Genomic DNA, 12,223 nt, shown 5'->3' with positions numbered 1-12,223 from the left:
GTTCACACCTGTGTTTCCCCCTAACAGCATGAGAAGGATTAGTGATCCCCATTCGCCTCCCACATGCTTCCATCCTGAGATTAAAACTGCAAATAGATCAGAGGATATATGGCGAGGGTTCTTAAGTGCAAAATAAACCAACTCTGGCTAATTTCATCAGAGATAGAATTATGGAAAGTATATTAGTGCCTCATAGAATTCACAAGACAACTGGAGACTAGGCTCAGAAAAAGGGCCAAATCAAGGGAAACCAAGCCTTTTGAGAGCCTGGCTTCAGACATGTCAGGGAAGAAACCCAGTTGGGATGCAGTAGACACAAGAAACTATGTTGTGCCAAAGGACTCTTTTTCCTGCAGCCCTGCCACCCCTTGGAGACCCCTAAATCTCCCTGTGTCTCTGTGTCCCTCTTCCAAGGTTAAGAGTCCTGCAGGGGAGGACTTCCATCAGCCAAACCTCATTGCTCTGAGCCCTCACTTCCAGGGTGCCTGGAGATGGAAGAATTTAACCCTCTTTTTTTTTTTTTTTTTTTTTTTTTTTGAGACGGAGTCTTGCTCTGTCGCCCAGGCTGGAGTGCAGTGGAGCGATTTCACCTCACTGCAACCTCCGCCTCCTGAGTTCAAGCCATTCTTCTGCCTCAGCCTCCTGAGTGGCTGGGACTACAGGCACGCACCACCACGCCTGGCTAATTTTTATATTATGAGTGCTGGGATTACAGGCGTAAGCCACCGCGCCCGGCCAAGAATCTAACCCTCTTTGGTATCCAGAGTGGGATTCTTCCAAATAAGGAGGCATTTCAATGTTAGTTTGCCAAAAAAAAAAAAAAAAAAAAGACAGTCTAATTCTTATCCTAGGCATTTGTATTCTGGAGAGGAGAAAGGGAAATCTTTTTTAGCTAAATTCCTTCTTCAAGTCATTAGTCTCACCAAACTAACTGAGGGACTGCAGCTGAGGTATCCACAGCTGCAGAACTCCATATGCTGAAAAGTCTGATTCCTGACTACCTCCAGAAATAAGAGGTAGAATTCTCCATTGATTGTGGGGTATGTTAGAACCAAACTACTTCACAGGAGGGACATCATCTCTCAAGTGCATCATTTCATTAAGATATTTACAGTGAAAGCAGAACCTTATCCAAAAGAAAAGTATGTATTCTTAGCTAGCCTCTTTGCTCCATAGGATTGGGGTGGGAGAATTAAATTAGTTAATTCAAGTAAAATACTTGGACTAGTGCCTGGCAAAACTGTGGAGACAGAAAACATAGCAGAATCTTGTTCCTCCTCCCCTTCTGACCTACTAAATGAGAATCTGCACTTTAACATGATCCTCAGGTGATTTTTCTGCATATTAAAGCTTGAGAAGCACTGGCATAGACCATGTAGAGTAGACATTTGTCATATTCTGTAAACATCCAGCATCTTCCGAACACCCTTCTTTTGGGTGGGGAATTTCTCACATTTCATTACTGCCCCCAAAAGGTAGAAGCCAGAGCCTTCCCACACTCTCTTGCAGCTTGGACATAGGCATTTGACCTGGGCTCTATCTCTTAGACAGAGGCTTTGGTTCAGAGGCACACAGCCGCGGAAGCAGGCTCAGTGTGAAATCCGTGTCTAACAAGGTAGCATTGGAGGCATCTAATCTGGGAGGCCAACAGTCGGGGAGGTTCTTGTGTCAAGTACCCAATCGACGAATAATGCCAGCTATAGATGTTCAGTGGCTGTGGGGTGTTCCCTGAGCAGTCTCTCAGTGAGATTCAGATACTGTCCCTGGCTGTATAGACCTAAAGCCTGACTCTCCACTCACCTTGAGGTTCTGTGAACTATGTAATATTCTCCAATCCTGTGCTATACAATAGGATCACCATTAGCCATGTGCTGTACAATAGCCACATGTGGCTAATTAAATTTAAATTAATTAAAATTTTAACAAGTTTTGAAACAAGATCTCACTCCCATCACCCAGGCTGGAGTGCAGTGGCACGATTTTGGCTCACTGCAGCCTTGACTTCCCAAACTGAAGTGATCCTCCCACCTCAGGCTCCCTAGTAGCTGAGACGACAGACATGTGCCACCATGACTGGCTAATTTTTTGTATTTTTAGTAGAGACGAGGTTTTGCCACATTGCCTAGGGTGGTCTCAAACTGGGCTCAAACAATCCATCCACCTTGGCCTCCCAAAGTGTTAGGATTACAGGCCGGATGTGGTGGCGCAACCTCCGCCTCCTGGGTTCAAGTAGTTCTCCTACCTCAGCCTCCTGAGTAGCTGGGATTACAGGCATGCGCCTCCACGCCCAGTTAATTTTTGTATTTTTAGTAGAAACAGGGTTTCACCATGTTGGCCAGGCTGGTCTCGAACTGCTGATCTCAGGTGATCCACACCCCCTCAGCCTCCCAAAATTCTGGGATTACAGGCATGAGCCACCAAGCCCGGCCAGGAACTGAATTTTAAATTGTATTTTAGCTGGGCGCAGTGGCTCACATCTGTAATCCTAAAACTATGTTGTTTTTGTTGTTGTTGTTTTCTTTTTCTTTCTTTCTTTTTTTTTTTGAGACGGAGTCTTGCTCTGTCACCCAGGCTGGAGTGAGAACTATTTCCTCAGCCAAGTTACTTGGCTACTGATGGTTGGCTGATGTCTTTCATCACGTGTTTCTTGGGAGAGAGTAACTGGTGTTGATCCTGGAAGCTGGGGATGGGGAGGGGTCGATCTCAATGAACAAGCTGGTATCTATCCCCTGAAGGATATCAAAGGTCATCTCCTTTAACAACTACAACAACAAAGCATTCTGACACACACTTCTTATGACCACTCTCTCCTTTATGTACTCTGGCCACACTTCCATCATATACTCTATAATCCTCAACGCCCCCCTCCTTTTTTTTTTTTGAGACAGTCTTGCTCTGTTGCCCAGGTTGGAATGCAGTGGTGCGATCTTGTCTCACTGCAACCTCTGCCTTCCCGGTTCAAGCGATTCTCCTGCCTGAGCCTCCCGAATAGCTAGGATTCCAGGCATGTGCCACCATGCTCAGCTAATTTTTGTACTTTTAGTAGAGACAGAGTTTCACCATGTTTCACCCAGGCTGGTCTCGAACTCCTGACCTCAGGTGATCCACCTGCCTCGGCCTCCTAGAGTACTGGGATTACAGGCGTGAGTCACCGCGCCCGGCTGTCTATCACTGTTTACTGTTATTTGTAAACTTTTATGCCTCCATGGCGGACCCCCTTCCTACACTACTAAGCTGTAAGGATCTCCAGGACTTATATCAAGTCATATGTGTCTTAACTTCACGCTTAACACAATGCTTAGAACACAGCAGGTGCTTGGTATCTATTGACTAAATGAATGAAGGAAAGCTTCATAATTTGATGAATGAGACACGAGTCTCCTGGGAGAGTAAGGAAAGAAGCCGCCGAAGTGCTCTAATTTGGGTAACGAAGGGGTGAAATTTTTAGAAGACAAACACCGACAGAGAAAGTTGTGGAGGAGGTGAACTGGCTCCGGCGACTAGGAAAAGTCAAAAGTCTTGGAAACGACTTCCCTATCCAAGCAGGGACTGGAACCCTGGATCTGCAAGGAATCAACCTGGCCCTCGGGAGGGGAGGGGCAATGCTCAGGGCACGTGACTCCACCGTTTCCCGGCAACCAGAGCCCCGTCCACCGCTCGCCTCTTGCTGCTCCTCACTTCTTCACCACGCTGAGCTCCTCTCGACCAATCGACGCACAGAACATCGTCGGGTGGGAAGGTAGTTGGAGGACTCCTGGGCTCCGTCACTAGGGGACTCCGCCCCTCCCGATTTCCTCCGGGCTACAGGCGACAGAGCTGAGCCAAGCGTTTACTGGGCAGCTGTTACGGTAAGTGAGGAGGGGCTGGGGTGCCCAGCGTTTTGGATCTCCCACTCTGGCCCGGCCCCGGAATACCACATAGAGGCCTTGGGACCTGATTCATCCCGTCCAGACAGCCCTAGAGACCTGAGCGACTGAGGCCTGGGATCTGGACGCCGGAATTTCCTGCGTGGTTCTGGACGCCCTGCCCTGGGGTAAGGGGCCATGCGGGGCTCTGGTGTGAGCAAAGTTTTGGTTTTGGGTGGCTTTAGACGAATTCGGGTTGGGGGTTCACTGTAGCGCTAGACATCAGTTCACCCAGGACCGCCGTGTCATAGCTGTCCCTTTTACTTCCGGCCTTTACGCTGGCTGGGCTCTGTCTCCTGGCATTATTCAGACCTTGCCTCAGGCAGCCTTCCTGATTTCTAAGTCTCCTCTTGAAAGAAGGTGTCAGCCTGTCTCATATGCCTAGATAGTTATAAAAGCCTCCAGGCTCTTTGCGTAGCTTTTCCTACCTGCCCGTGCTTGGGCTGCTTTCGTTATATTTTCCAAACAAGCAGGATGGTATTTGATAAAAACATGGATTCTGGAGCAGCACAGATCTGGTTTTCCTGTCAAGGATTCCCCACATATCAGTAATGTGCCCTAGAGCAAGTTACCCTTCTGAACTTGTTTTTTCATCTGTAAAATGGTGAAAATACCTACCTTTCAGTGATTGTATTAAAATAAGAGCATGAGACATACGGCTGAACTGCATGCGCTGAGCACACAGCCCTTGCATTGTAACAGTACTCTCTGACAGACACTTTTTACCAAGCAGGATCTTCATGTATATGGAACTGTGGAAAGACCTTTAGTCTGTGTTCTGTTGAAAACAGAATTTAGGGGCCGGGCGCGGTGGCTCACGCCTGTAATCCCAGCACTTTGGGAGGCCGAGGCGGGCGGATCACAAGATCAGGAGATCGAGACCACCCTGGCTAAACGGTGAAACCCCGTCTTTACTAAAAAATGCAAAAAATTAGCCGGGCGTGGTGGCGAGTGCCTGTAGTCCCAGCTATTTGGGAGGCTGAGGCAGGAGAATGGCGTGAACCCGGGAGGCGGAGGTTGCAGTGAGCCAAGTTAGCGCCACTGCACTCCAGCCTGGGCGACAGAGCGAGACTCTGTCTCAAAAAAAAAAAAGAAAGAAAGAAAGAAAAAAAAACAGAATTTAATTGACTGGAGATAGAACTGTTGCATTTTGGAGATCTTTGGAGAAAAGTGCAGGCTGGTTGTCCAACCTGGAAATGCCCTACAGATTTGTGTGTGTGTGTGTGTGTGTGTGTGTGTGTTAAAATATATGTAGCATAAAATTGACCATTTTAACTATTTTTGTGTGTATGATTCAGTGGTGTTCACATTGTTGTGCAACCATAACTACCATCCACCTCCAGAACTTTTTCATTTTCCCAAACTGAAACTGTGTACCCATTAAACAGTAATTCCCCATTCTTTCTACCTCCCAGCCCCCAGCTCCCACCATCCTATTTTCTGTATCTATGAATTTGACTACTCAGGTACCTTATATAAGTGGAATCACAGTATCTGCCTTTTGTGTATGGCTTGTAGGAATTCCATTTTTATTTTTATTTTATTTATTTATTTGTGAGACAGGGCCTCGCAATGTCACCCAGGCTGGAGTGCAATGGCGTGATCACCACTCACTGCAGCCTCTATCTCCTGGGCTAAGGTGATCCTCCTACCTCAGCCTCCGGAGTAGCTGGGACTACAGGCATGTGCCACCACACCTGTCTAATTTTTGTATTTTTAGTAGAGATGGGATTTTGCCATGTTTCCCAGGCTGGTCTCGAACTGCTGGCCTCAAATGATCTGACTGCCTCGGCTTCCCAAAGTGTTGGGATTACAGTCGTGAGCCACTGTGCTCAACCTTATGCTGTATTCTTAAAGCCAGTTCTTACTCACTTGAGCTTCTGTTTTATAGCTCAGATTCCAAATGAAAATGTTTGAGAGCGCTGACTCTACAGCCACAAGATCTGGCCAGGATCTCTGGGCTGAAATTTGTTCCTGTCTGCCAAATCCTGAACAAGAAGATGGTGCCAACAATGCATTCTCAGACTCCTTTGTGGATTCTTGCCCTGAAGGTGAAGGCCAGAGGGAGGTGGCTGACTTTGCTGTCCAGCCAGCTGTAAAGCCTTGGGCTCCCTTGCAGGATTCAGAAGTGTATTTAGCATCTCTAGGTAAGTTTGACGGCTCTAGGGAAGCATATTGAAGTTCTGTTACATCAAACTTGGTTTCCTATTCTTTTGTGTTGTTGTTATTCCTGTCACACGTATCTGTCAGATATAATTCCAAGGGATGTTTCAAGCCGGCTGTTGGGAAGCAGCCCCCTTTTCCTTGAACAGATCTTTTTTTATTTTTATTTTTAATTTTTTGAGACTTTCACTCTTGTTGCCCAGGCTGGAGTGCAGTGGCGTGATCTTAGCTCATGGCAACCTCCACCTCCCGGGTTCAAGCGATTTTCCTGCCTCAGCCTACCGAGTAGCTGGGATTACAGGCGCCTGGCACAATGCCCGGCTAATTTTTTGTATTTTTAGTAGAGATGGGGTTTCATTTCACCATGTTGGCTAGGCTGGTCTCGAATGCCTGACCTCAGGTGATCCACCTGCCTCGGCATCCCAAAGTGCTGGGATTACAGGCATGAGCCGCCGTGACTACCCGAACAGCTCTTAAAACAGTTTTTGTCACTTCCTGCCTCTGCCCAGTTCATCTAAATTCTGTGTTTGATTTCTTGGCATTCTGTAGAACCCTCTTGCCTACTGTTGGTTGCCCGTATATTCAAATAACTCAAAAGTGTTAAACCTTATGCCATCCTGCAAGAAAATGTGATGGCCCCAGGGCTACATGTGGATTTCTGATGCTGGAGTTTGAAAAACTTACATAAATAGATTGATTGTTGAGAATGGGAGCATATTGACATAAGATTCATTCTGCCTCTTGTTAGCCATTTTATTTTAAAAATATTTCCTGAACACATTTTCAGTACCCTGTCCTGCGGCCATAGTATAAGTATCTAGAGAGATTCCAAACACAGGAAAGAGATTCAAATTGTCCCATGCTAGGGGAAAAAGAAATATCAGTCTAGGGCGGTGAGGGGCAGTCTTTAGAATTGTAATATCCTTTTATTGTGGAACAACCATGAGATTCATCCATGTTTCACAAAGCCAAACCTGGGAATAAGGCTTACCTTGGCCTCCTGAAGTGCTGGGATTACAGGCGTGTGCCACCGCGCTTGGCCCTAATTTTTTTATTTCAATAGCTTTTGGTGTACAAGCGGTTTTTGGCTACATGGATTAATTGTATAGTGGTGAAGTCTGAGATTTTAGTGCACCCATCACCCAAGTAGTGGACATTGTACCCAATGTGTAGTTTTTTATCCCTCACCCCTCTCCAAACCTCCCCACTTCTGAATCTCCAAAGTCCAGTATACCACTTTGTGTTTTGTTTTTTTTTTGGTTGTTGTTTTGTTTTTTTTTTTTGAGACGGAGTCTCATTCTGTTGCCCAGGCTGGAATGCAGTGGCACGATCTCGACTCACTGCAACCTCCGCCTCACGGGTTCAAGCAATTCTGCTGCCTCAGCCTCCTGAGTAGCTGGGATTACAGTCGCCCACCACCACGCCTGGCTCATTTTTGTATTTTCAGTAGATAGAGAGTTTCACCATGTTGGTCAGAGTGGTCTCGAACTCCTGACTTCGTGATCCACCCACCTCGGCCTCCCAGAGTGCTGGGATTACAGGTGTGAGCCACCGTGCCCGGCCAATATACCACTTTGTATACCTTTGTGTACCCATAGCTTAGCTCCCACTTATAAGTGAGAACGTATGGCATTTTGTTTTCCATTCCTGAGTTACTTCACTTAGAGGATAATGGCCTCCAGCTCCATCTAAGTTGCTGCAGAAGACATTATTTTATTATTTCTTATGGCTGAGTAGTGTTCTATGGTGTATATATTCCATATTTTCTTTATCTACTCATTGCTCGATGGGCACTTAGGTTGGTTCCATATCTTTGCAATTATGAATTATGAAACATGCGTGCAGGTATCTTTTTGATATAACGACTTCTTTTCCTTTGGGTAAACACCTCGTAGTGGGATTGCTGGATCAAATGGTAGATTTACTCTTAGTTCTTTGAGAAATCTCCATATGTTTTCCATAGAGGTTGTACTGATTTACATTCCCATCAGCAGTGTATAAGGATTCTCTTTTTACCACATCCGTGCCAACATCTATTGTCTTTTGACTTTTTAATAGTGGCCATTCTGGCTGGGGTGAGGTGGTAGCTCACCATTTTGACTTGCATTTCCCTGATGATTAGTGATTTTGAGCATTTTTTCATATGTTTGTTAGCCATTTGTATATCTTCTCAAATCCCATTGAGAAATGTCTATTCATGTCATTTGCCCACTTTTTGATGGGATTGTTTTTTTCTTTCTGATTTGTTTGAGCACCTTGTAGATTCTGGATATTAGTCCTTTGTTAGATACATAGTTTGCAAATACTTTCTCCCATTCCATGGGTTGTCTGTTTACTCTGATTATTTCTTTTGCTGTACGGAAGTTTTTAGTTTAATTAGATCCGATTTATTTATTTTTGTTATTGTTGCATTTACTTTTGGGATCTTAGTCATAAATTTTTTGCCTAGGCCGGGCACGGTGGCTCACGCCTGTAATCCCAGCACTTTGGGAGACCGAGGCAGGCAGATCACAAGGTCAAGAGATCGAGACCATCCTGGCCAACATGGTGAAACCCTGTCTCTAATAAAAATACACAAATTAGCTGGGCGTGGTGGCGCACACCTATAGTCCCAGCTACTCGGGAGGCTGAGACAGGAGAATCGCTTGAACCCAGGAGGCAGAGGTTGCAGTGAGCTGAAATCGCACCACTGCACTCTAGCCTGGGCAACAGAGCGAGACTCCATCTCAAAATAAAAATTGCCTAGGCCAATGTCTGGAAGAGTTTTTCCTAGGTTTTCTTTTAGAATTTTGAAGATTTCAAGTCTTATATCCATCTTGAGTTGATTTTTGTATAAGGTGAGAGATAGGGATCTAGTTTTATTCTTCTACAGGTGGCTAGCCAGTTTTCCCAGAACCATTTGTTACATAGGATGTCCTTTCCCCAATTTGTGTTGTTATATGCTTTGTCGAAGATCAGCTACAAACCTGGGAATAATTTTTTGAGGAAGGAAAGGCAATTCAGGTAGAAGGAGCTTCTGAGGAAAGACAGAAAGAAGAGTCAGAAGAGAGCTTGCATGATAGCTAAGAAATATCTTGCAAAAACAAAAGGGATTTTGTTAATGATGTACTGGAGGAAAAAGATATGAGAAAAACATAGGTGGAGTGATAGAAAGATAGGGAGTAATGTGAAATTTGCCAGGAAGCCACCAAAGATAGGATAGCAATGCTTGCAGCCATGGCCTAGGGGATGAAAATTCTGCATGTGGTAGCCAAAGCATCTGTTTAATGATGATAAGGAGAAGAGGCAACAATTGGATAAAGCTATAGAACGAGATCCCTTGGCTTGTTGGTGCTGTATGACAAGGGCTTCTAAGAAACTTTCATGAAAGTCAGGCATGGTGGCTCACACCTATAATCCCAGCGCTCTGAGAGGCCGATGTGGGAGGGTCACGTGTAGGCCAAGAGTTTGAGACCAGCCTGGGCAACATAGTGAGACTGTCTTTACAAATACATTTTTAAAAATTAGCCTGAAGTGGTAGATGCCTGTAATCTCAGCTACCAGGGGGCTGAGGTGGGAGGATTGCTTGAGCCTAGCAGTTGTTCAAGGTTACAGTGAGCTGTGATCATGCCACTGCACTCCAGCCTGGGTGACAGAGCAAGACCTTGTTGAGAAAGAGAGAGAGGAAGGAAGAGAAAGAGAGAGAGCAATTTGGGAGGCCGAGGCAGGCAGATCACATGAGGTCAGGAGTTCAAGACCATCCTGGCCAACATGACAAAATCCTGTTTCTACTAAAAATACAAAAATTAGCCACGTGTGATGGTGTGCGCCTGTAATCTCAGCTACTTGGGAGGCTGAGGCAGGAGAATCGCTTGAACCCAGGAGGCGGAGCTTGCAGTGAGCTGAGTGAGATCGTGCCACTGCACTCCAGCCTGGGTGACAGAGCGAGACTCCGTCTCAAAAAAAAAAAGAAAGAAAGAAAAAGTGTAATGAAGACAGTGATGATTTTGATTAGTGAAGACTGGCTTGGAAAGTTAATGATCTTCTCTAAAGTCAGTTAAGAAGTTTTCATCTCTGAAGAAAATAAGAGTCATTTCTGTTGCCTATGGCATGGACTGGGAGACAGCGGCAGAAGGGACGTGTTAGTGCCTGTTTCTGCTTGCCCTATTGAAATCACACCTGACCAGGGACTCAGCATACTTAGAGAGAGGAAGACCTTTTCCGGCCCAAAAGAGTACCTTCCACTTTGACAACTGAGGCCAGACAATATGAAGATTGTTTTTATTGTTAAATAACCTATATCAAAGAGAATCCACTGATAACAGCAATAATTAAAAACTTAAATGTATGCTATGGATAACCCTTTTTATATCCTCAAGGAGAAAACAAACCCTGCAAATATTTAACATTTATCAACTGCAGGTTTTTTTTACATGGGTGAGCTCATGGTGGTAATAACAGGAACAAAAGGTATTTGTTTTGATCAGTGGGTGTTAGCTGATGTGACTTTTTTAGAAATGAAAACAGAACTGCAAATCATAGTTTCTATTGGTTCTAAGCTTGATGTTCACCACCCCACCATGCCATCATTAACCTATGTACTTATAGTTGAAGGCAAACTAAATTAAGGCAGACGGTAAATGGTGATGTCCTTTCTTGTATTCTTCGAAAGGGGAAATCTGTTAAACAATTAGAGTTAAAATGCAAACAAGAGTAATTTAACCTCTATCATCAAGAAGCCATATGGAGCACTGTCATGGGATTAGAAGACATTTGTTTTTATTAGACTCCAACATCTAGGCCACAAGTTGAGCAACTTTAAAAAATGTTGGGAGATTCTTTTTATTAAGAATTTAATCACACATAGAGATTTTAAAGGTCTCTTATTGAGTTCTCATCAAGTCAATTTTAATATCTAATGAACCGTTGGATCTTTCATCATTTTCTCTAATTCTTTCTCATGAGATTTGGAAACCACTTCATGTTACTGTAACAAAAAGAAAAAACCACTTACTCCTCAGAGAGATTATTTTCAAGGAGTTGAAAAAAGACAGTAGTATACACATGTCAAACCAGGGAAAACAAGCATTCCTTAGAGAGATACCTGCTGGGCTTACGTGATTTCAAAGAAAACATGCCATTGACTTATTTATGAGAACCTATGGCTTTTCCCTTTTCTCGGGTTAAACATTTATTTGATACAATGCAGGGTGAGGACTTTGTGAAGGAAAAAGGAAGAATGTTCAATTCCCTTTTATCTGTCCTTAAAAAATGACCTCTTTGGCAGGGAGTGTGGATGTCCTCATCGGTGAGAGATTTTTTAAGTTAGTATTTTGAGTTTTAGATTTAGTTAAAATTTCATGTCATGCTCATTTTCCTTGTTAAGCTCTACTTCTCTCTCTAGAGAAGAAGCTAAGAAGAATCAAAGGTTTAAATCAGGAAGTGACTTCCAAGGACATGCTTCGAACTCTGGCCCAAGCCAAGAAGGAATGCTGGGATCGGTTCCTCCAGGAGAAGTTAGCTTCAGAGTTCTTTGTGGATGGACTTGATTCTGATGAGAGGTAATCGATTCCCCGTCTAGTTCCAGCTGAAATCATCCTTTATGTAGTTGTTCTATTTGTTTTTAGCCCAGCAGTAGATTTTTAAGAACAGACTTTTTTGCCAAAAGGCAAATACTGCAGCTACGTGTTGGTCACAGATTGAATAGAGTTAAGGATAAAGCATTGTGTTCATTTTTAAGTATGCAATGAACTTGAGAAAGTAGTAACTAATCAGTCTCTCATGTTCTTGAATTCTTTCTCATGAGGTTTGGAAACCATGTTACTGTAACAAAAGGAAAAACCATTTACTCCTCAGAGAGATTATTTTCTGGAACTATCTCTTCATCTCTTCTTACCTCTGAATTTCCACTGCTTTACAGATTTTTTTTTTTTTTTTTTGAGATGGAATCTCGCTCTGTTGCCCAGGCTGGAGTGCAGTGGCACGATCTCGGCTCACTGCAATCTCTGCCTCCTGGGTTCAAGCAATTCTTGTGCCTCAGCTTCCTGAGTAGCCGGGACTACAGGCGTGTGCCACAACACCCGGCTAATTTTTGTATTTTTAGTAGAGATGGAGTTTCACCATGTTGGCCAGGCTGGTCTCAAACTTCTGACCTCAGGTGATCTGCCTGCCTCGGC

General features: G+C 44.3%; 1 protein-coding gene across 13 annotated transcripts in view, besides 4 other annotated features; it reads left to right on the top strand.

Annotated features, from left to right (window-relative positions):
* Positions 1,428-1,607: a silencer, noted in NCBI's record as "fragment chr15:40859416-40859595 (GRCh37/hg19 assembly coordinates)". NCBI's record gives its function as "represses an EF-1alpha promoter that drives an FKBP-Casp9 reporter gene in an ReSE screen in HepG2 liver carcinoma cells {active_cell/tissue: HepG2}" and the evidence as "EXISTENCE:reporter gene assay evidence [ECO:0000049][PMID:32094911]".
* Positions 2,560-2,854: an enhancer, noted in NCBI's record as "tiled region #4500; K562 Activating DNase matched - State 5:Enh". NCBI's record gives its function as "activates a minimal TATA promoter and a strong SV40 promoter by Sharpr-MPRA in K562 cells {active_cell/tissue: K562}" and the evidence as "EXISTENCE:reporter gene assay evidence [ECO:0000049][PMID:27701403]".
* Positions 3,334-3,383: an enhancer, noted in NCBI's record as "active region_9250". NCBI's record gives its function as "activates an Ori minimal core promoter by ATAC-STARR-seq in GM12878 lymphoblastoid cells {active_cell/tissue: GM12878}" and the evidence as "EXISTENCE:reporter gene assay evidence [ECO:0000049][PMID:35858748]".
* The window catches only part of CCDC32 (coiled-coil domain containing 32), a 44,050-nt gene continuing 35,608 nt past the window's right edge, over positions 3,782-12,223 (top strand). For 5 of the 13 annotated variants that reach the window (NM_001382439.1, NM_001382441.1, NM_001382438.1 and 2 more), the window contains exons 1-3: positions 3,782-3,848; positions 5,797-6,052; positions 11,452-11,608. In NM_001382439.1, the coding sequence (NP_001369368.1) occupies positions 5,809-6,052; positions 11,452-11,608 (401 nt within the window). In that variant the 5' untranslated portion in view covers positions 3,782-3,848; positions 5,797-5,808. Of the gene's footprint in view, positions 4,059-5,796; positions 6,053-11,433; positions 11,609-12,223 lie in introns of all 13 variants that reach the window. The other 8 variants (NM_001382440.1, NM_001382436.1, NM_001289132.2 and 5 more) reach the window with 6 other exon arrangements.
* Positions 10,121-10,170: an enhancer, noted in NCBI's record as "active region_9249". NCBI's record gives its function as "activates an Ori minimal core promoter by ATAC-STARR-seq in GM12878 lymphoblastoid cells {active_cell/tissue: GM12878}" and the evidence as "EXISTENCE:reporter gene assay evidence [ECO:0000049][PMID:35858748]".

Source organism: Homo sapiens, chromosome 15, assembly GCF_000001405.40.
Source record: "Homo sapiens chromosome 15, GRCh38.p14 Primary Assembly".
Taxonomy (NCBI): domain Eukaryota; kingdom Metazoa; phylum Chordata; class Mammalia; order Primates; family Hominidae; genus Homo; species Homo sapiens.
The sequence above is the reverse complement of the archived record's forward strand: the minus strand, read 5'-3'. Positions and strand labels throughout refer to the sequence as shown.